Consider the following 22,837-nt stretch of genomic DNA (forward strand, 5'->3'; position numbering starts at 1 on the left):
GCATAATGTTCAATAGGATGGGGAAAAGAATAAATTATTTCAGAAAAAAATTAAAACAACAGTGTGCTGGACACATTCCCTACGTCCCTTCAGATCCACCCTCCACCCTTTTCCACACAAACTCTTAGCTACAGGAGTTTCACAGGACTTTCTGCCTTCTGCCTCCAAGTGGGCTTGATCAGTGAAATGTACCTGTAGGAGATAGATGTGGAAGGATATGAGATGGGTGTACTTAGTCTCCCAGCTCTCTTTCTGCCACGTTGCTATGGATTGGCTGCATCTCTGCTGGGCTAGTGTTCATGATATGTCAGGTGGCCCTTTCTATATCAGTCTTAGTAGGGATGTAATGTCTTCCCATCTTGCTAGCTCTAACTGCACCTGCCATTGTTGGGTTGCCTAAAGCTGCCCACACCAGTAAGTGGTTTCTGTAGTAAAGTTTCATCACTTAACCTGGTTAAAGTGTGCCATGTGATTCTTTCTAGAAACCTGATTGACACAAACATTAAAACTAAAAGCCAATGGTTTTAGGTGAGGTCATTTGTAATAAAATGAGAAGTAATTTTGAAAACTTCATCAACTACACAGATGCACATTGATTTAGGTAGGAAAAGGTAAAGGATAAATTTTTCTCAAGGCTGAATTATTTTACCTTACAGAGAAAAAAATATTAAAAAGATATCAGAACTAGAGGCAAAAGCTTAGAAGAATGAATTCATTGTTTATCTTAACTATAACTTAAGGAGAGTTTAAAATTTTTGGTGAGGTAAGCAGAGATTTATTTTGTTTTAGAGCTCTTATTCACAATCAGTACCTTCAAGGCAAAACTGCGGAGGCTTTCATTGCATATGGCAAAATGGCTATAACAAAAATGAAGTTTGAGAGTTGGGTAATGAGAATTGATTCTGTGGATAACCACTCTTAGTTTGTAAATTTGATGAAAATTATAGAGTTAGAAATAAATAAGCAACACTCTCAGCAATTTTTCATCACTTAAAATATCCTTTGAGTAATTCTGCAGGGCATACTCGAAACTGATGAGTGGATCAAAAATGCTTACTGATCATCACATGTCAGAAGTGACATGACCTCACAGGAGAAAGACTACTGAAATGTTCACCAACAGTAGTATGAAAATTTGTACTAAAGCCCCTTTGGCCACATTCTGGAAATCTCAGTCCTGGGTGTAGCTTCCAGGAGAGCAGAGGTATTGCTTCTCTCATTTACTGCTGTATAACCTAAAATAGAACCTGACACATAGTAGTCACTAGATAAATATTTGCTGAACAGCTGAATCAATTTAATGGGTGTTTCCTTGGTGATTACTCTGGTTTTGCTCATAAAGTTTTGTTTTGTTTTGTTTGGCAGGGGAGCCTTGTTCTGTCGACCAGGCTGGAGTACACTGTTGCCATGTTGCCATCATAGCTTACTGCAGCCTCAACTTCCCGGGCTCAACACACCTCAGCCTCCTGAGTAGCTGGGACCACAGGTGTGAGCCACCACATGTGGCTAATTTTTTTATTCTTTGTAGAGACGAGTTCTCCCTATGTTGCCCAGGCTGGTCTTGAACTCCTAGGATCAAGTGATCCTCCCACCTTGGCTTCCCAAAATGCTAGGATTACAGGCATGAGTCACCACACTCAGCTCTTTGCTCATAAAGTTATAAAAAAGTAAACGATTGCCATTTGTAATACATATTTAGATGACTAACTTCTCAATTTGTAATAACAATTATAAACCTTCGGCAGTGGAGAGAAATTGCCTGGATAAAGCTGAAGGACCCAGTGGATTAACATCCCATTCTTTAGCCAAAGAGATGGTAAGAAAATACTTTTTCTTAATGAAAATTAATCTAAAACATATTTTTAATAAAAAAACAATATGAATGTACTGTCAAGTAGAATGCAAAATTAAAATGATTTTCTTTTAGCTAGAATATGAGACATGAGGGGGTTTGCCTTTCTTGCAATGGCTTCTGATACGGTTTCACTGTGTCCCCACCCAAATCTCATCTTGAACTGTAATCTCCATAATCCCCAAGTGTTTCGGGGGGACCCGGTAGGAGGTAATTGAAATATGGGGGTGGTTTCCCCCTTGCTGTTCTTGTGATAGTGAGTTCTTATGAGATCTGATGGTTTTATAAGTGTCTACCATTTTCCCTGTTTGCACTCATTCTTTCTCCTGCCACCCTGTGAAGAGGTGCCTTCCACCATGATTGTAAGTTTTCTGAGGCCTCCCCAACCCTGCAGAACTGTGAGTCAATTTTAAACCTCTTTTCTTTGTAAATTACCTAGTCCCAAGCAGTTCTTCATAGCAGCACAAGAATGGACTAATACAGCTTCCTTCTCAAGATGCTGGAAGTTCCTGTTAACTCTCCTAGGCTTTCAGGAATCCTGCTCACAGGCTTCAATAGACGTTTTGGCCATTGTATCAGACCCATATGAGCCACTATCACTAAGCTACTATCAGCTATTTATTTGGTTCCATTTTCTGCTAATTCACCCTTTTGGGTGTTTTTCTGAAAATAACTGGAGTCATTTACAATACATTCCTTCATCTATTCAAGCATTCATATTATCTCTAGGTCTGTTTATCACTCATTACCTGAGCCCTCGTTTCCATGTAAAGCATCGTGTCTGTGAATTTTTAACAGTTCTTTTATTACCTTATTTCTTAGGTTGGATTATCTGCAGAACAGACTATGAGAAGGAGATTCATATGTGTAAATTTATTGGTGAATGTGCTCAAAATCAGTTCTTGTGTGGAAGTGAAGTAGGGTTACGTGGAGAAAGGAGTTGGGAAGGGACACTTTTGCAACAAAGGTTTTCCATAACTGTGATGGACATTCAGAGTTGATCAGCCTTCAAGCAAGGGGTCTGGGCCTTTATTCCTTCCCTCACACACATAGACCACTCACTGAATGTGGGCATGTGGGCTGCCCTATGAATGAGGTCCAATCTTGGGCAATGAGGCTCTGTTCCATTGAGGGTAATTCCTGGTTAGTGGCTCAGATGAGATTCTCAGCTGCCAACAATACCAGCATCACCGGATGAGTATTCAGTCCTGAAGGGGGAGTGGGTCTGTGTGATTCACTGTAGCGCACATTATACTATAGTAGGGTAGGGGTGGAAAAGGTGTAAGGCCCTTCCTCACCCATCGTAAGGGTCATGGCCTACACTCCTACAGTAAAAGACAGATTAACAAGAGAAAAGCATAACAAATTTACTTAATCAAAGTTTTATGTGACACAGGAGCCTTCAGACATGAAGACTCAAATACCCAGGGAAAACTGTACATTTTTATGTCTGAATTTGATGAAGAATAGGCAAACAGCCATGTATAAATGTAATTGGACAAACATGGGATTAAATAATGGTAATAGGCTAGGGAGGCAGGGACCTAGCAAGACCTGTCTGTTCAGATTCTTCTTGGCCTCTCTGTGTAGAGTTCCTTCCTTCTAGCTATCAGGCAGGACTCCTCTGGAACAAAAGTCTTATGCTCTACTACCAGCTAAGGTAGATCAGAGAACTTCTCCATGGCCAGTTCCTATACAGAAAGGTTAGAGTAAGGGGAAGGCTAGAGTCGTATTTCTGGGTTTTATGACTTACTTTGGGAAAGATGGGTTCTATTTTCTATGACCCACCATGGGGAAGAGGAATTCTGGTTTCTATGACTTGCTTTGGAGGAGAAAGAGGGGTAGGGGGCAGGAGATAGGAGGGCAGCAGAAGATCAGAGAGAGAGAGAGAGACTTTGCTTCTGAAACTGCTTCTGAGGGCTTCCAACCTCCTTTAGTTCAAAGGACTAGCATGCCAAAGTGCCATACTTTGGGATATTGTTTTCTGAGCCCCAGCAGTAGGGTTCAAATGCTCTTCTGGGGAGTTCCTCCTAACAATATGCCTCTCAAGAATAAAGTTTCATTGTCTCTGGTTTCTGCCTATGGTTGGCCATATTTGCAACCATCAAATAGTTATTCAAGAAAAAATGGTTTGCTTGTTTCTTCTGGAATGCAGAAAAGTCCCAGGCCTTGGCTCTGTTCTTATGCTGTATCTTCCCATCCTAAATGGGTGTTTCCTTGGTGATTACTCTAGTTTAGCTCATAAAGTGTTTTTGTTTTTGGTTTGTTTGTTTGTTTTTGGGACAGTCTTGCTCTGTTGCCTAAGCTGAAGTGCAGGGGCACGATCACATAGCTTCCTGCAGCTTCCTGCAATCACGGCTTACCAACTCCTAAGAGCCAGTGTTCAATTTCCTTTCTTCAAGAAAATTTATTCAAGTTTCCATTGACTTCCCAATTACTCTAGCTATAATCCAGTTTATTGTCAGTAGGCCCTGGGTTCATTCTGGCAAAAATATATGTAAAAGCCTTGGGTCCATGACTTATTGTCCATTAATTTATCTCCTCTTGAATTTACTTTTAAGTTCTTTTTGTTCTTTGCTAGAATAAGTTGCTTTGGTTTTAAGAATCAGTCTCACTCAAAATAATGTGACAAAAAATAATTGGTTAGCAGGTGACTGTTATTTTGACAATATTTGTAGGTTAGTACTGGGGTCAATGGACACTTGAGGCAGCTCCAAAAGTGCTTTTATCTCACGAGCCACTGAAATCTCAAGGTTTTGGCTTTTTGATTCCTTCAATACCAAGCAGCCAATCCTCTTCTATTCTGTAGCCTACATACTAGAAGGAGCCAATCTGTGTGGCTTAGCTGATCACCAATGACTTTACTTGCTTTTAATATCAGATTATATCAGGGGTTGACTAGCCTATGCATGGCTGTCTTTGAGTCAGGGACCACTCTTAGTCTTATCCATAGCTATCCTAGTCCTTCAGCATATAGCACTGCCTCTTTGAGTAAGGAACTTGCAACTTAATGAAACTTATTGGATTTGGTAGAGGCATGACCGACATATGCTACTCATTGTTAATACCATCATTTTGTGGGTATCACTTGCCAGAAGTTTTATATACATGGTAAACGGATAGTTATTTTTGTTTGCTGTGAAATTGCTCTTTTCAAGTCTTGTGAGACATGTTAAAGTCCATATATAACCTATTTATTTTCTTTATTCTATTTATATTCTGATTATATAATAAAAGAGCATTTAAAAAGTCGTAACATATACATATTAACAAGTGTGCACACGTTTGAAGGAAAATATGGATTAATTCATTTTTTGATATTGAAATAAAATTATACTTATTCATGTATACATGTGGCAAAGCATTAATGGCTGTATCAAATAATTTTATACAAATGAATCATAACTGTAAATCATATAGTCTTTCAAATCTTCCATTATGAATTCATGGATTAGAATTCATTTAGAATTCATTATGAATTCTAAAATTATAGCATATAAAATAAATGAAATATTATCAGATAGCACGTAGTTTGACCGCAGCATTTAATATTAATAAGATTTTTGGATTTGCTGCTTACAGTACTATGCAATCATAGCTAAACCAAACTATTAATTTGAGTTGATAACTGAGCAAGAGTAGAAATTTTTTTATTTCTTAAATGATGACGGAAATTAATGGTGATTTTGGCAATCAGGGAAGAGCTTATATTTCACTGTTAAAATGTAGAAGTGCTTTCTCTTGAGAAAAGCATGAATTTAGCTTAGTCTGGGAAAAAAATTCATTTTTGCAAATATACCAGATTGAATTGGAAACATTGTTAGTGCTTCTCCTAAATTTAAAATATTAGTGAGATTTAAAATCTCTATTTATGAATCGTTGTAGAAGCCCACTAGGAAAGACCTTCTGGGCAAATTATTAGGTTTGTTCCCAAACACTTCCTTGCCCTTCTCCCTGCTAATTGGCTTCCCGCCAGTCCTGCTAGCACTACACACTGGTAGAAGCATGGAAGGGGGAAGAAAAGAATCCAGGGGGTGGGTATTTGTCTCTCGTCTTCTTTTCTCTCTCCTTCTCTCCCCTGGTTGTGTTTTCTGGCTGTGGCTGCAACTCCTCCTGATAGTTGCAGGTCTTCTCTGGACAGGCTCTCAGCTCAGTCCTTGCTTTGGTTTTAGCTCCTGCCAGGCGGCCCAGCTTCTGGGTTCTGCTGACATTCTGCATCCTCCCTGCATACAGCCAGCCCTCGCCCTCGAGAAAGAAGCAGCTTCCTGCTGTGGCTAATCTCTGAATTGCCTTCCCATGTCTTGCTTGGCTTCCCAGCCCTTTCATCAACAGTGTAATTAATTTCTCGTATTCAACTCCCTCTGTTTGATACAGGGTATGTTTTCAGTTTGCCTGACTGGACCCTGAATCATACGGCATTTCTCCACTTTCCATTCATGGAATAGCAGACTAAAAGGACTTTACATTAAGCAATAATACAGTTTACTACTCTGGATAAACATACGTAAAGGCAGAGATATTTTACAAATATGTACACATGTGACGTTTCACTTAAATTCAGCCTGATATGACTTACTCCAACATCTTTCTTTTGGATTCTTCCCAAACTCAATCACTTCCTACTCAAAGTCTTTATATATAAAGATGTCAAAATAATGACTATCAAATGCTGTTTTATGCATATGACTACTTTGTTCAAGCATCTAGAAGCTATCTCTTTGGTGCTTTAGATCCCAAATCCTTAATCTATTTCTCACAGCTGTCCCTGAATCATTTTCCTCTTCCTGAATCTTTCTAGCCTTATATCCTATGTTATGCTCTGATGAAACCTATCTGTTCTGGTCAGACACTCTTGCTTTCCATTCTTAACATTCAATTTCCTGTTTTCTACTGTTGTGTCTTCACTAGGGCAGCAGCGCCCTTTCTTATCACATCTTTGACATTGATAATACCTTATAGAGAATAAGAATAATACCTTATCATCATTAACAATTCATCATTATACACATATGTAACTTCTCCAGATCTCCCTCTTTTTGAATATTGGCATTTTCCAGGATTCTAGTCTAAGCCCTATTGCCTTTTCATCTTAAACTCCTTCTTTGGATGATCTCTTCTCTTCTGACAAGTTGAGCTTCAATCTATGACCCCTGAATCTCAATATATAGTCTTTAGACTTTCTCCTGAGCTCCAAACTTGTATTTCCAGCCGACTAAACATTTTTACCTGGTTGCTTCGCGGGCACATCAAACTTAGAATGTCCCAACTGAACTTACTCTTTTTTTTCCCTAACATCTGCAAAGGCCTCCCCACTTTCCAACTTCCTTAGCTTTAACTAATAATGTCACTTCTTCTTCTTCTTCTTTTTTTTTTTTTTTTTTTTTGAGATGGAGTCTCACTTTGTCGCCCAGGTTGGAGTGTACTGGCACGATCTTGGCTCACTGCAACCTCCTCCTCCTGGATTCAAGTGATTCTCCTCCCTCAGCCTCCCGAGTAGCTGGGATTACAGGTGCACACCACCATGCCTGGCTAATTTTTGTATTTTTAGTAGAGACGGGGTTTCACTATGTTGGGCAGGCTGGTCTTGAACTCCTGACTTCAGGTGATCCACCCGCCTCGGCCTCCCAAAGTGGTAGGATTACAGGTGTGAGCCACTGTGCCCGGCCAATTATGTCACTTATTAACTAGTTGTCTGAACTAGAAAACAATGTTTCTTAATTTTTCCCCAAAGCTTACCATCCTCCACCTATCACAAATTCGGAAAGATATCCCCAATCTTCCCCTCTTCATCATCTGTATTGCCTTAGTCTTCTAGGAGGCCACTGCTGTAGACAATCTCTTCTACCTCATTTCCTGCCTGTCTTTTGGCTCATTAATGCTCCAGGAACCAAACTGGCTTTTTCTTAATTCCTAAAACACATCACTCTTGGTCTTATCTCAGAGATATTTGCATTTACTGTTCACCTTTTCTCTGGGTTCTTCCCAAAGTAACTTTTTTTCTCTTACCAATCCAATATAAATAGGTTCTCCCTTACCCAATTATTCTCTATTACAGAACCCTGCTGTTTGTACCTTTTATTATACTTTATAACAATGTGCAAATATTTTGTTCATTTGATTAGTCATTTATTATCTGTCTTCCTCACTAGGGTCTAAGCTTCATAGTCACTTTGTGCTCAGTTACGTTATAGGTGTTGAAAAACTACTGTTGCATTAGAAAATGAATGGTGGATTGAATGAACTAAGATGGGGCTTCTGCCTGTCTCTCAGGTCCTCTGCATTCCACCAAACACAAATCCGATCATGTTACTGTCCTGCTTAAAATCCTTTGGTGGTTTATAATTTTCTGCAATAGTCATTTAAATACTCAGCAAACTTTTTTGATATTTACAATTGTGGGGAGAATAAGTGTTCAGAATCTTAAGTTTAAATTGAAACTGAAGGAATAGGTAGAAGAATGAACACCATACCAGCACTTCCTAGCCCAGTGAGAGTTCAAAGCCTTGAGCCATGGCTGGCTCCGGTAGCTCACACCTGTAATCCCAGCACTTTGGGAGCTCAAAAAAGGCAGATCACTTGAAGTTAGGAGTTCAAGACCAGCCTGGCCAACATGGTGAAAACTCGTCTCTACTAAAAATACAAAAATTAGCCAGGTGTGGTGGCACACATCTGTAATTCCAGCTACTCAGGAGGCTGAGGCAGGAGAATTGCTTGAACCCAGGAAGCAGAGGCTTCAGTGAGCCAAGATTGCACCACTGCACTCCAGCCTGTGCAACAGAGCTAGACTCTGTCTCAACAACAACAACAAACCACAAAGCCTTAAACTAATGTTGGTCAAATATCTAATGTTATAAATTCTGTTACCAGACAGACAGGGAAGTGAAGAAAGCACTGGACTATGACCAAGAGGTTCTGGGTTCTGATTCTGGCTGAACCAGTTTCCTTGACCTCTCTAATCCAGTTTCCTCATCTACAAAATGAGGATATTGTATCAGGTAATCTGCAAGGCCCCATTCAGCTCTGTAATTCTGTGATTCTCAGATACTAGATTAAATGTTTCCGGATTGCTTTTTGAGCATCAAATGAAATAATATGTAGATTGTGAATTAGAATACACATCTTAACATTAGTTTTGCTATGGTCCTGGCACCCTCATTACAGAGCTAGTTACACTTTGTCTCCAGCAGTTGTGTACTTGATGTGCAGTTTCTACGTATCATTTGAATTGTTTCACTTTGCAAGTAGTTTCAGACTCAATGAAAACAAGTGACATTTAGAAATGCTAGTAAGTGGAAAAAAAGTTGAAAGAGGGCAATATATCTTGCCTACTATGTGTTGAGTGCTTTATGTATATTACACCTTAAAATAGAGTTATCATCCCATTTTACAAAAAAGGATAGTGACATATGACTAAGATTACTTAGCTTATCACTGCGCACACATGACTTACACACTGAAATGTCCAGGCCCAAATCTCTCTCTACCTTCTGTCAATTACATGGATGCCCGTTCACTTCCTCTCCAAGTAAAGGGATATAAATGAGAATCAGAAAGTGGCCTTTGGTAAAGTAAGCAGAATTGAAAAGAGAACTCTTGGTTGCACCCTTACCTCAAAGCTATCTTTGGACAGCTGAGCTTGCTGGAGAGCACCAATGACCACTGCTATTGGCCCTCTTTCTAACAGTCTTCTACAGATGCCTAGAGGTGAAAGGACTTGGTCCTATCCAGAGTAGGGCCTATTCCTGTGCTTACCGTTAATGGGCCCCAGTGAGCTTCAGAGAAGGAGATCACACATTGAGGAAAACAACTAATTAATAATCAAAATTAACTTAATATAACAGCATCAGGACAGTTTCCTTGCTTTTGGTTGCTCATTTTACTTTTTTTTTTTTTTAAGAGATGCTCATTTCATGATTCAGCTCCTTTTCAAGAAAACAAACTTAGGGAGAATATTAGTTTCTACAGAGTAGAATTCAATATAAGGAGGGGTGATATAGCTGTACCATTTGTGAAGACTTGTGAGTCTTGCTTATAGGATGGGCAAAAAATGGACCTTCCAAAAAGCCGGTGGCCCATAATATTCCCCTTAGGGTGAAGAGCATTGTTATTTGTGCATCCAGGACAGCTACAGAAATAAATAACCAAAAATGTCAACAAATGAATGCCATGCAGTATTTAGAGACAAACAGCTCTAAAGAAGAATCCATTCTTGTCCAGTTAAACAATAACCCAGACCATTTGCTTTTAAATATAAAAGGGAAAAAATGAAAACGAATACCCATTTTTCTCTTTCATTATTTATGCAATCATTCTTGCACCTGCTTTCAGAAGGAAGCAAAGAATGTGATCTTTTATACTAATGCTCCAAGGGTTTTATAAATAAGTTAATTTAATTAGTAAAATTGATTCAATTTTTTTGTGATAAATAGTACTTGCTATAAATAATTCCTTGAAAGGTAAAAATATTTTGTTTAACAGTGCAAAACATGAGACTCAATTACTGGTCAACTATAGATTAAATATTATCATTCTTCATTCAATGTATACCTGATAGTACCTGACATTTTAGTTAGGCAGGGTGGTTTAATAATATTGGTCAGGATTATTGTTCTTTCTCTGTATAACACTTCTTTACTGGCTACTCCAGTACTTGCTAAGCTGTTGGATAACAAATGGAAAAATATCACATCACAGGCATATTTATCTACCGAGCAGGCAAAACAAGAAAATGGAACCCGGGCTTGGCATCATCTAGTGTTACTCAATCAAGGCAAATTATTTATTGTCTTCTGCCCAGGAGGTCCCATGGGGCATGAAATATTGATTTAGGAATTTGCTGGGCATGAATGACTGTGTGTTGCAATTGTGTTCTTTTTTTTAATCCCTTGATAATATATGGTAAATTGTTTCTATATATGCTGTGATGAGGCTGAATAACAAATTAAACCTGGCTATTTAATAAACATGAAATGTAAACACTAAACTCTTCATACTAACTTAGGGCTATAAAAGGTCACCCCATGGTGTACAGGATTGCACAATGCACTGTTCACATCCTTGTCTAGAGTCATCTCTTCCTTCATCTCACAATGGCATGGCCTCTGCTGCATCCCCTAGGTCCCGATTCCAACTTCCCAAGTGGAACTGGGAGAGCCGGAGTGTTCTTTATGGTTCACTTGGGGATTATCAAAGCCAGGACTTGGGGTGGGAGGTTCTAGATATTGGGAAGGAGCTAAAGCTGGGCTAAGAGGGAATTTGTGGCGAAGAGGAGGAGCTATTCATGACCCAAGCAGAAGAAAATGAGTCTGGAGCAACTGTAAAGCAAAAAGCCACGATGCAGGAAGGATGGCAACATGCAAAGTTATTTCATCAGTGGAAAATCTTTGCTCTGTACCATTCTATAGGTCCATGAAATACCGAATATTAAAAGTGAGGGCCACACATTAATGCACGGCATCAGTATCTATTTGTTTGTTTGATTCACTCATTGGTACTTCTCATGTAAGAAACAGCACAGCAGTTACGATGAAGACTCTGGAATCAGATGACCTGGGTTTTAAGCCAGCCTCTGCTACTTTCTAAGAATGAGATTTTAACTAAATCATTTAACTTCCTTTGGCCTCAGCTCCTCATCTCTAAAAAGAGGATAAAGTGTCTCCTTTGAAGAGAGCTGGCCTGAGAATGGAGACCACACTGAGGAACAGATAGAGCTAAGAGCTGGACAGAGCTAGCTGGCCCCTGAGGACATAGTTTGAGTTCCTGCTTTCAACCTTGCCTCAATGGAGTGCCCTCTGGATCTTCTGATTTTATGAGGTGATCAATTCTGTCTTTGGTTTATTTAAATGTAAATTAGTTTGTATTGGATTTACAACCAAATTACAATGGACTTGGTTTACGTGATCCTCTTGGTTTGCCACTGACTTTCTATACATAGAAGACAACCAATATATACTTACTGAATGTATGAATGAGCTAAAATTTATTTTTTTAAAAAACCTCTTGAAACCCATGAATTTAATCTCCTCTGCATTATCATACCATCCTAGGCAATTCACGTTCAATTTAAGTGTGTCCACATAGGAGCACATCCTTCTGTAGAGAAACACATGATGCAGCCCTGAGGGTCTTGCTGGATGAACTGGATGGCTAAGAAAACTGCAGGGAGAGACCAGAGATTGAGCTCAGAAGACCTGAGTTCTTTTCAACAGAACTAACACCATGGTCTGCTCAGTCTCTTGACCTCTCCGAGCACCATTCTTGATGCACAAGATGCGAAGAATAATATCTACCTACCGGGTAGTTGTTAAGCTCAAAGGAGCTCATTTACATGAGAGCTAAGAATGAAACTAACGTAATTTGTTGGTTTCCCCCACATATTCCCATTTCAATTGGTGATGGATACACACCTGCCAAATCATGAGCCTAAGGGTGTTAACTTTTTTTTTTCCTAATAAAATGCACAACGGTAGTCGCATTCCAGAAGGCTATGTGTCAACACACGCGATCATATCTGGGTCTTGGGTGTGACCTTTGGCCAAATACTCAGTGTCCTCGAGGGTCTGTAAAAGGAAAAGTTTCCACTGGCGCGTTCTCTCCAAGGTTCGCTTCAGCTCTGCTATCCCAGGGCTCCTGATGGCAGCGGCACGGGCTGTGCTTAAGGCGAGTTCCTAACAGGCCCTCGGGGCACTCCTGCATCTCCGCACCCGGCAGCCTCGCCCCTTGGGTGTTTTTGGTGGGCGTGACTAGAAGCACCTGCTCCTGGGCTCCTTTTGCATCTTGCTGCAGTCCCCTCCTGTGAAGGGCGCAGCTCTGCAGTCTCCTCGCTCTTCCCTCGGGTGTTCTTTCTGAGATCCGGTTTCAATCCTCGAGCGTGTAGCCCTCAGGTCCCCTTACAACTCCCCAGAGCTCCGTGTGCATGCGTGCGAGAGGGAGAGAGCCAGGGAGAGACCCAGGTGACGAGACGAGGCTCCCGGGCTCCAGTTACTGGCCCGCAGGGCCGGGGCACGTCGTCGCCCAGCGTGCGGCGGGGCCCGGGAGCGCCGCGGCCCCTTTAAGAGCCGGGCCCAGGCCGTCGCCGGGACCGCAGGAGCCCAGAGCGCGGGCGCCGCAGAGGAGTTGGGAGCCGGCGCAAAAGTTTCCTCCCAACTCTGGCCCCGTGCGCCGCCGCCGCCGCCGCCCACTCCAGCCCCCGGCTTGGGGCCGGCCCTGCCAACGCCGCCAGGGCCAGGGCCAGGGCCAGGACCAGCGACAGGGCAGGGCCGGCAGTTTCGCTTTGGTGGGCGCGGAGCAGCCGCCTGGGCCGGGCAGGAGTAGGAGCGGGAGGAGGAGGAGGAGGAGCCGGTGCCGCGGAGCTGCCGCGTCCCGGGCCGCCGGGCACCTGGGAGGTAACCCCTTTCCGCGGCCGCCCCTCCCCGATTCCCGCCACCTGCCGCCTGGCCAGGTGGAAGGGGCGCTGCCGCGAGCCTCCGGGCCTCAGGGTGTTCCGGGGAGCGGCGCCCCGGGTCTCTGGGCCCACCCGCCCCGGGCGTCCTCCGAGAGTGGGGGCTGCGCCCGCGGGGTCAGACACCTGTTCGGCCCGGCCCGGCGTGGTCGCCGGGGGCCAGGATGAAAGTGACCGTGTGCTTCGGCAGGACGGGCATCGTGGTGCCCTGCAAGGAGGGCCAGCTGCGCGTCGGCGAGCTCACCCAGCAGGCGCTGCAGCGGTACCTGAAGACCCGGGAGAAGGTGAGCGCGGCGCGGAGGAGTGGGGCGCGGCTGCAGCCAAGGCACCTGCCAGGTGCGACCCGGTGGCGACACTCAGGGGATGCAGAAAACCCAGGGGATTATGGGGCACTGCCTGTAGCTGCAGCTGTTGTCTATTGCTAATATCAGTGATGTGGGTGTCTTTGGGTGTTTGTGGGCCTTGAGCTCCGAGGGTCGTGAGTGGACCTGCAGCATTGGAATCTCTTGGGAGCTTCTTAGAACTGCCCAATATGGGCAGTTCTCCAAACCCACCGACTCAGGATCTGCTCTTTAACGAGATCCCCAGGTGATTGGAATGCCCACTGAAGTTTGAGAACCACTGGTTTAGAACTTGTTTGAGGGAACGTCTTAAAAGGTGCTGCTCACCTAAGTGTGATTTTTGACCCATTAAGGCCCGCCTCACTTAGGCTCCTTGGAGTTAGAAAGTTGATTGTGCAAGTGACACATACTCGGAAGTTACAACTGATGGGGCCTTTGGAGTTTCAGCCTTGTGAGCTGCCCTGTCTCAGTGACTTGGGCAGGAACACAGGTGGGAGCATGCTGTTTGCTTAGCCAACCTGTCTACATTTTGAGTGTTTTCAGTTTAATGTCACAGATTCTATGACCATTTACTATGTGTGTGGGCTGTTGTCAGGTCCTGAGTGACTATTAAAATGAGAAAGACGTTCCTAGCTCTGTAGCTGAAGTCAGGAACAAGTATAAATTAAGTGACAATTTTTTTTAAGTGTGCAATACATGTTGAGAAAATATCTGGCACTAGAACTTATGCCAAGTATTTGGGTAACATTGGGCCTCTGGGACTTCCTCAGTGAAACTTTTAAAGGAAGGCATTGAATAACCTTTTAATTTTTTGAATCTTCACATGGAACATTTTGTATGTCCCAAATGCTCCTCAAACAGGGCAAGTCACAAATTCTTGTTTTAGCGGCCAATGGTTCTCTTAATATTTGGTCTCGTGCCATGTGACTAAAATAGTGGGTTGGTCAATCTAGTGATGGAAAAACGTAAGTTTTAATTTCTTTTAACTTCTTATCGGTTATCCAAAGCATAAAAGTAATTGTTTCTTACAAGTGTATAGCTTAGGGGTTTAAGAAAATACTTGCACCTTCTTTGCCTCCATGAAGAATTATTATACAGAAAAAAAATTCAGCTCTGGACAGATACATGTGCATATTGCTTTGGATACTCAAGAACTGGAGGAGAGTACAATGAAAGGTCTATTAATATATTAAATATAACCCCTAAAGATGAACTCTTTACTGATGGAATTGAGGTGGAGGAGGGAAAAAATTAAAGTGGTTTATAAAGCTGTGTGAAAATCAACTGCAATGTTATGTGTGTGTGTGCACGTGCATATGTGTTTGCCATTGTTAAAATAGTGTTTGCTGTTTAAATCATGTAATTCAGTTAACTGATGTTTAAACAAGTAACCAATTGTCTATTAAATCATATTTCACTAACTTTTGAAAGTGAGCTAAGATTAATAGTAACAACATTACTCCAGACAGATTATTGAAATAGATCTCATTGAGGGATTGTCTTACCAAATTGAAGTTACTTTTTAACTATTAAATAATTTATGCCCTCAAATCTTGTATATTTAGAAGTTTAGTACAGGGGGCTATCCAAGTAAGAGATAAACTACAAGCTTGTAAATAACATGAAGAGAACTAACCAGCTGATATTTAATTCACTATAATTTGATCTTAAAAGGTGTTAAAATATTGACATTCTGGAATGGAAACGTAACTTATAATATCACAGAACAATGTAGTTGCATTGATCAGTTTACTATTATTACCAGACTTATATTTTTCTGTTTACATTTATATATTAGTGAATGTGACATTTAAAGGTCACCTGCAGCATATAAATCCTTCCTCTTATTTTCACTTTTAAAATTTCATTTTAAGAAGTAGTAGGTGATGATTTTTCCCCTCCCCAAGTATTCTTCTCCCATAGTTTTATTTTAAATAATATTGTAATCATAACAAGATTTAACGAATATTAAATCGTATTCATAATGGCACTAAAAGGTCAATAAATACCCTAACAAATTCCATGCTTTTATTCATTTTTTTTAAATGAGAAAAGGCCAGAAATGTCAAAATTCAATTTGAAAAACAATGTGTAGTAAATTCACTTTCTGTAAATCAGTGAATTTCTGCACTTCGTAATAATAATCACACTAACATGTAACATGTATTGTGCTTATTCTGTGCAGGCCCTGTTTTAGGAACTTCATGCTTATGACTTATTTCTCCCAACAACCTTAGGAGATAGGTACTATTATTATCCCCATTTTACAAATCAGGGGAAAAAGAGACACAGAGACATGACAAGTAAGTCGTAGATTTGGGTTTAGAAACCAGGAACTGTGTCTTTAGATGTTTGCTCTCAGCCATTAACTGCATAGCCTAGTACTATGTATGTTGTTATGAATTGGAATTTATCCATATTGTTTGTTTTTTAATGCTTGATTTAAAAAGACATTTCCATCTACTAACTGCTATATCACATCAACCTAAAAATAGCAATTTTGCTTCTGGAATAGTGATGGGATATCCACAAGTTTCTCTTAATTATATATTTTATGAGGTCTACATGTAGAAAATCTAGTTTCTGAGGCAAATATTGTAGGATTTGCAAATCAACTATGAAAAATATTCCTCAGTCTAACTACAAATGGGAAAATGGGCAAGATCTTAGACATCCAGGTGGCGAGTGCTATAAAGAACCAAATTTGGTGGGAACATGAATGTAAAGTAAGTCCATTATTTTCTGAGGCACTGAGTAATGTAGATGGGAGAAAGACAGGTTTCAAGATTGAGGATGAAGTTGAGGTTTCTAAAGTTTGGAAAGTAAGTGAAGTCCAAGAATGCCATTCTATATTTCGTGGACAGCGTCTGAGAAGTAACCACTACCTGTTGAGAACAAAGAAAACCTATTTGTGGAATGTTGGGAACCCCCTGAATCAACATCAGATAAGGCCAGAGGTTGATGCGATCCTGAAGATACAGGGGGAGCTTTTGGGAAGGCTTTAATTATGCTCTGAAGTCTGGGCCTTTGAGGTTCCTGCCACCATTTGATGAACTCCATTGGAAACGTGGTGGACTGAGAGGTGAGAACTGTGGGATTGCTTATCTCCGAATCCTGACACTTTATCAGTGTCCCAGCCTCCAAATCCAATTTAGTGAAGTTGTTAGTGGAGAAGTGATTGTCTTCTTATGTGCTTATGGTGGGGATCGTTGAGTAATTAGTTAAATTTATCATCAAAATTATGTGTCACAGGTGAATGGGTAATTGAGCTGTATCCTGCAGGGACTCTCAACCCTGGCTGAACTTCAGTAACCTCTAATTTTCACATTAAACATTTTAAACATTACAAATACCTGTGTCCCTTCCCCCAAGATTCTCATTCATTGGGTTAGGAGTGGGTCCTGGGCATAGGTATTTTAAAAAGCACTCCAGGTGATTCTAATGCCCAGCCAAGGTTGAGAATCACTAATCTACTCTAATCTTTTCGTATGGCTGAACTCATTGGATTTTAAACTCTTTTGATGGCAGATACTGTGTCTTAGATATCTACACACCAATCTGTTATTAAGCAACAGAATAAGCACAATACATGTTATTTGTTAATGGGATTATTATTATGAAGTGCAGGGCTTAAAACCTTGCTGTCTAGGGATTCAAACCTTTTAAGTGTCTTTCACTGATTTACAGAAAGTGAATTTATTACACATTGTTTTTCAAAATGAATTTTGACATTTCTGGCCTTTTCTCATTAAAAAAAAACAAACAAATAAAAGCATGGAATTTGTTAGAGTATTTATTGACCTTTTAGTGCCATTAGGAATACTCCTACTCCTACCCTTAAAGAATTCTTCCTATAGAAGGTGCTCAAATAATTGCTTAAAGTGAACATTCATTTTATATAGACAGTTGTCCCTTAGTATCCATAGGGGATTGATTCCAGGACTTCCCTCGGATACCAAAATCTGCAGATGCTCAAGTTCCTGATATAAAATGCTGCAGTGTTTGCATGTAATCTACACACATCCTCCTGTATACTTTAAGTCATCTCTAGATTATTTATAATACCTAATACAATGTAAAAGCTATTTAAACAGTTGTTATACTATACTGTTTAGGGAATAGTGACAAGAAAATTGTGTGTGTGTGTTCAGTACACGTAGTTTTTTTTCTAAATATTTTTGATCTGGGGTTTGGTTGAATCCGCAGATGCGGAATGCATGGATGCGGAGGGCTGACTGTGTGTGTGTGTGTGTGTGTGTGTGTGTGTGTGTGTATTCACTGAGGATGAAGTGAATAAGGGAAAGGCTTGTCTAGTAATGAGGATGTATAGTGTGTTCTGGGGTTGGAATGAATGAGAAATAAGAGCATTGAATTCGTGGAATAGCAGGCATGCTGGAATTTACAAAGGCCAATTTGTGGCTCTGACTGCGTATGTGAGTACACCCTTTTTTGGAAAGGAAAAATTATATTTGATAGGGTTTTCAAGATGAATCTTTTCTGTATTCAGATATTTTGAATAATATGTTTGTTTTACAAGTTGAGGCAGCTTCCCAGAACTGGGAGTAGTCTGATTAGACTAACAATTCCATTCCCTGATTAACTGTGGGATCGGAATCTAAGAGAATTTGTGTAGTTAGAAGAATCTGGTATGATAATGTGTGGGAGTAGCCTGGAGGAATAGGCTAGAACTCTTGAATTTCTAAACTTTTCAGGCTTTGATGCCTTGTTACCTAAATAGATTTTAAGGTTCTTGTATACATAAGCTAGGCCCAGACTGGATTCCTCAAATGCTTTTCAATTGATTGGGCACTGACTTACTTGAGTGCTTTATTTCCTATTCAGACCTCACTTCTTTACAGCATGTGGACAGAACTGACTCGCCATCAGCATTACACATGCTTCCAACTTGGTTTTGGTTCTGCTACTCAGCTTGCATTGAGCAGCTTCTAAGTTTGCAAACAGAGGGCTCGTGGGGCCTGCTGTGACCCACAGACATATTTTTGTAGGTCTGCTCAGTGTTATATTTTGACTTAGTTGTCAGCATTTAAATATTTTGAGATTTCATGCAAAACTCCAGATTCCTATCTTCTTTGGGGGAAAAGCAAATTGGAAGCTCTGACAATGCTGGGCTTTACTTTCCCACATAGCAACCATCAGTTGGAGCTGAGACACCTCTGCTCTCTTTAGAAAGAATTATTAATGCTTCAGTCTCCATTATTGCTTCCCTAACAGTGAGGATAAGTTATTGTCATCATGCTTGACTGTTTTTACTCTGTGCTTATTTTCTCACTTATGGCCTTAATTCATGGTTGCTATTTGGCCTGCTGGTGGGCATTTGAGTTTGTGCTCCTGGATCTTCTCTCCCCTCCCTCCTCTTTCTCTTTCTCTCCCTCTCACACACACATCCCCACACACCCTCTGTGTATAATCCATGCACATAGGGTTTGCTGAACCGGGTTTGGCTGGTTATCTGAGCTGAGTTAATTGCCCTGTGCGCGATTGGGAGCCACAGCCCTGATTTGTAGCTTGAGGCCCTGTGCTTAATCAAGTGGCTTAGTTAACCAGGAATTCATTCCCAGGGTATTCTGTGCTACAGATTCCCTTTGAAGAAGTTGGGCAAATGGTAATGTTGTCAGATTTTTGTGAGACTATTTTATGAGTGGACTGTTAAAGACATCTGAGGAGTGTGTTAAACATTCAGAGCTTTGGGCCTCTCTTGGAAAATCTAAAGCAGTGTAGTGCAGTAGAACTTTCTGGGATGAAGAGATGTTCTAGATCTGCATCTTTCAAGAGGGCAGCCACTAGACATATGTGGTTGTTAAGTAGTTGAAATGTGCCTAGTGCAACTGAGGAACTGAATTTTAAATTTTAATTTAAATGTAAATCGCCACAAATGGCTTGCCTTAGTGGACAGTTCAGATCCAATGCTCTTCTGATGGGTTCTGTCAGCTGCTTTTGGAAACCACTGGCTTAAAGACCAGATCCCAGGCAGTCCTTAACTTGACATTGCTACTCAGTTCTGTTGAGAACTTTGCCATCAGAAAGGGATCTTCAGCCACTCTTTGGTATCCACAGGTGGTAGAGAGAGCCTTTAAACCTTAAATGCTCCACCTAGACACTAGCACAAAAACTAGCTGGGTTTGAGAGTAAGCCCAGGTTGGCCTCAGTTTACACCTTTGGTGCAACAGGCTGAGGATGTACATCCTCTGTCTCTGGTACTGGGTGGAGAGTGGGCCAAGAAGGAGCAGTGAACAAAAATCTGGGCCATTTTTAGTGAGATTTAGATGCTTCTCGACTGATAGAAATACTAAACACCTTCAGTTCAATTAAGTCCCAGCTATTTATCTTTGCTTTTATTGCATTTGCTTTTGGGTTCTTGGTCATGAAATCCTTGCCTAAGCCAATGTCTAGAAGGGTTTTTCCAATGTTATCTTACAGAATGTTGTAGTTTCAGGTCTTAGATTTAAATCCTTGATCCACTTTGAGTTGATTTTTGTGTAAGGTTGAGAGGTGAGGATCCAGCTTCATTCTCCTACATGTGGCTTGCCAATTATCGCAGCACCATTTGTTGAATAGGGTGTCCTTTCCCCACTTAATGTTTTCGTTTGCTTTGTTGAAAATCAGTTGACTGTAAGTATTTGGGTTTATTTTTGGGTTCTCTATTTCTGTTCCAATGGTCTATGGGCCTATTTTTATACTAGTACCGTGCTGTTTGGTGACTATGGTCTTATAGTATAGTTTGAAATGAGAGCTTTTCCATGGCAAAAGGAACAGTCAGCAGTGTAAACAGACAACCCACAGAGTGGGAGAAAATCTTTGCAATCTATACATCTGACAAAGGACTAATATCCAGAATCTACAATGAACTCAAACAAATTAGCAAGAAAAAAACCAAACAATCCCATCAAAAAGAGGGCCAAGGACATGAATAGACAATTCTCAAAAGAAGATATAGAAATGGCCAACAAACAAGAAAAAAATGCTCAACATCACTAATGATCAGGGAAGTGCAACTCAAAATCACAATGTGATACCACCTCACTCCTGCAAGAATGGCCATCATCAAAAAATTTTAAAAAAATAGGTGTTGGTGTGGATGTGGTGAACAGTGAACACTTCTGGTTGGAATGTAAACTAGTACAACCACTATGAAAAATAGTGTGGAGGTTCCTTAAAGAACTAAAAGTAGAACTACCATTTGATCCGGCAATCCCACTACTGGGTATCTACCTAGAGGAAAATAAGTCATTATATGAAAAAGATACTTGCACATGCATGTTTAGCAGCACACTTTGCAACTGCAAAAGCGTGGAACCAACCCAAATGCCCACCAGTCAACGAGTGGGTAAAGAATCTGTGGGGTGTGTGTGTGTGTGTGTGTGTGTATATATATATATGTATATATAAGGCTATATACATATATATGTATATATATGGCTATATACATATATATGGATATATATTTATATATATCCATATATATATATATATATATATATATATATATATATATATATATACACACATATATATAAAGGAATACACCTCAGCCATTAAAAGAGAGACTGAATTAATGGCATTTGCAGCAACCTGGATGAGATTGGAGACTATTACGGCAAGTGAAGTAACTCAGGAATGGAAACCCAAACATTGTATGTTCTCACTCATAAGTGGGAGTTCTCACTGACACAAAGGACTTCAGGGACTCAGGGAGAAAGGGTGGGAAGGGCATGAGGGATAAAAGACCACAAACTGGGTGCCGTGCATACTGCTCAGGTGATGGATGCACCAAAATCTCACAAATCACCACTAAAGAACTTAGTCATGTAATGAATCACCACCTGTTCCCCAATAATTTATGGAAATAAAAAAATTTTAAAAATACTAAACATCTTAAGCACATGCTTCCTGGAACCTACACTCTCCTGACTTTTTTCCTATCTATTGTCCATTCTCAGGCTCTTTGGTTGTTCCTTCTTTCCTCCTCTACGTCTTAGCACTACAGTACCCCAGGACTCAATTCTTAAGTCTCCACCTGTCTCTCTCTGCTTACAGTAATGTGGTTCCAAATACCACTGGGGTAGTTCCAGCCCAGGTGTCTTCCCTGAACTGCCAGCTCTATATACGGCTTTCTTGACCCTTTGCCTGGACATCTGGTAGGCATCTTACACTTATAGCATGCCCCCAAATGAATTCCTAATCCCCAACTCCAAATCAAGTCCTCCTACAATCTAAGCATGTCATTAAATGGCAAGGCCATCTTTCTAGCTGTTCACCAGAAATGCTTGTCATCACCCTTGACCAATGTTTTTCTCTCATGATCCACATACAGTCATTCTGCAAATCTGGTTGACTCTGCTCTCATACTAGATTTGGAATCTGACTACTTTTCAGTCTCTTTCCTGTTAGTATACTGGAGCTTGATTTTTATTATTTTTTTCTTTAAATAGACTTTAGTGTCTCCATTTCTGCCCCCGAGACTCCCACATTACTGTCTCTCCTTAACACAAAAGCTAGAGTGATAATTTAAAATTATAATCAGGTCATGTCATTCTTCTACTGAAGATCTTCCAATGGTGCACATCTCTCCTAAATGGCCTTGGAAGTGCTACATGATCTGACTATCTGTGCAGAAAAAGTTAATGTAGCAGGCCTGAGACTGCTATCCTTAGAAAGCCCTGCTTGCGAAGCGGGGCCTTGGCTGGTGGCATCTGGAAAGTTAGATTTGTGGAGGGCTACCATCATTCCCTTATCGGAATGGCTCACTGTGCAAAACTGTTTCTGCAAACAATATGGCTTATGCTGAACACCTGCTCTTTTTCTGGGAGTCTGGAATTTTTGTATATGCTAAGCAGAAGGTGCCTATGTGATCAGTCTGCAGTAAAAACCTTGGGTGCTTAGTCACTAATGAGTGTTCCTGGTAGGCAACATTTCGCACATGTGGTAAGAACTCACTGCTGGGGGAATTAAGCAAGTCCTCTCCACTAAGGGAAGACCCTTGGAAGCTTGTGCCTGGTTTCCTGCAGACTTCGCTCTGAATGCCAGTTTGTTTTGCTGATTTGGCTTTGTATCTTTTCACTAATAAATTATATCCATGAAGGGCCTGGTACGGTGGCTCACACCTGTAATCCTAGCACTTTGGGGGCTGAGGTGGGCGAATCACCTGAGCTCAGGAGTTCAAGACCAGCCTGGGCAACATGGTGA

At 40.9% G+C, this 22,837-nt stretch overlaps 1 protein-coding gene across 5 annotated transcripts in view, besides 2 other annotated features; it reads left to right on the forward strand.

The window, feature by feature from the left end:
• Nucleotides 6,470-6,670: a silencer, noted in NCBI's record as "peak4022 fragment used in MPRA reporter construct". NCBI's record gives its function as "represses an SCP1 promoter by STARR-seq MPRAs in K562 erythroleukemia cells {active_cell/tissue: K562}" and the evidence as "EXISTENCE:reporter gene assay evidence [ECO:0000049][PMID:32103011]".
• Nucleotides 12,919-12,968: a silencer, noted in NCBI's record as "silent region_12260". NCBI's record gives its function as "represses an Ori minimal core promoter by ATAC-STARR-seq in GM12878 lymphoblastoid cells {active_cell/tissue: GM12878}" and the evidence as "EXISTENCE:reporter gene assay evidence [ECO:0000049][PMID:35858748]".
• Nucleotides 12,932-22,837, forward strand: part of PARD3B (par-3 family cell polarity regulator beta) — a 1,074,688-nt gene continuing 1,064,782 nt past the window's right edge. For all 5 annotated transcript variants that reach the window (XM_047443208.1, NM_001302769.2, NM_205863.4 and 2 more), the window contains exon 1: nt 12,932-13,576. Coding sequence is in view for 4 of the 5 variants with exons in the window: in NM_001302769.2 (NP_001289698.1) it covers nt 13,457-13,576 (120 nt within the window). In the remaining variant the exon portion in view is untranslated. The remainder of the gene's footprint in view (nt 13,577-22,837) is intronic.

This window comes from Homo sapiens, chromosome 2 (assembly GCF_000001405.40).
Source record: "Homo sapiens chromosome 2, GRCh38.p14 Primary Assembly".
Taxonomy (NCBI): domain Eukaryota; kingdom Metazoa; phylum Chordata; class Mammalia; order Primates; family Hominidae; genus Homo; species Homo sapiens.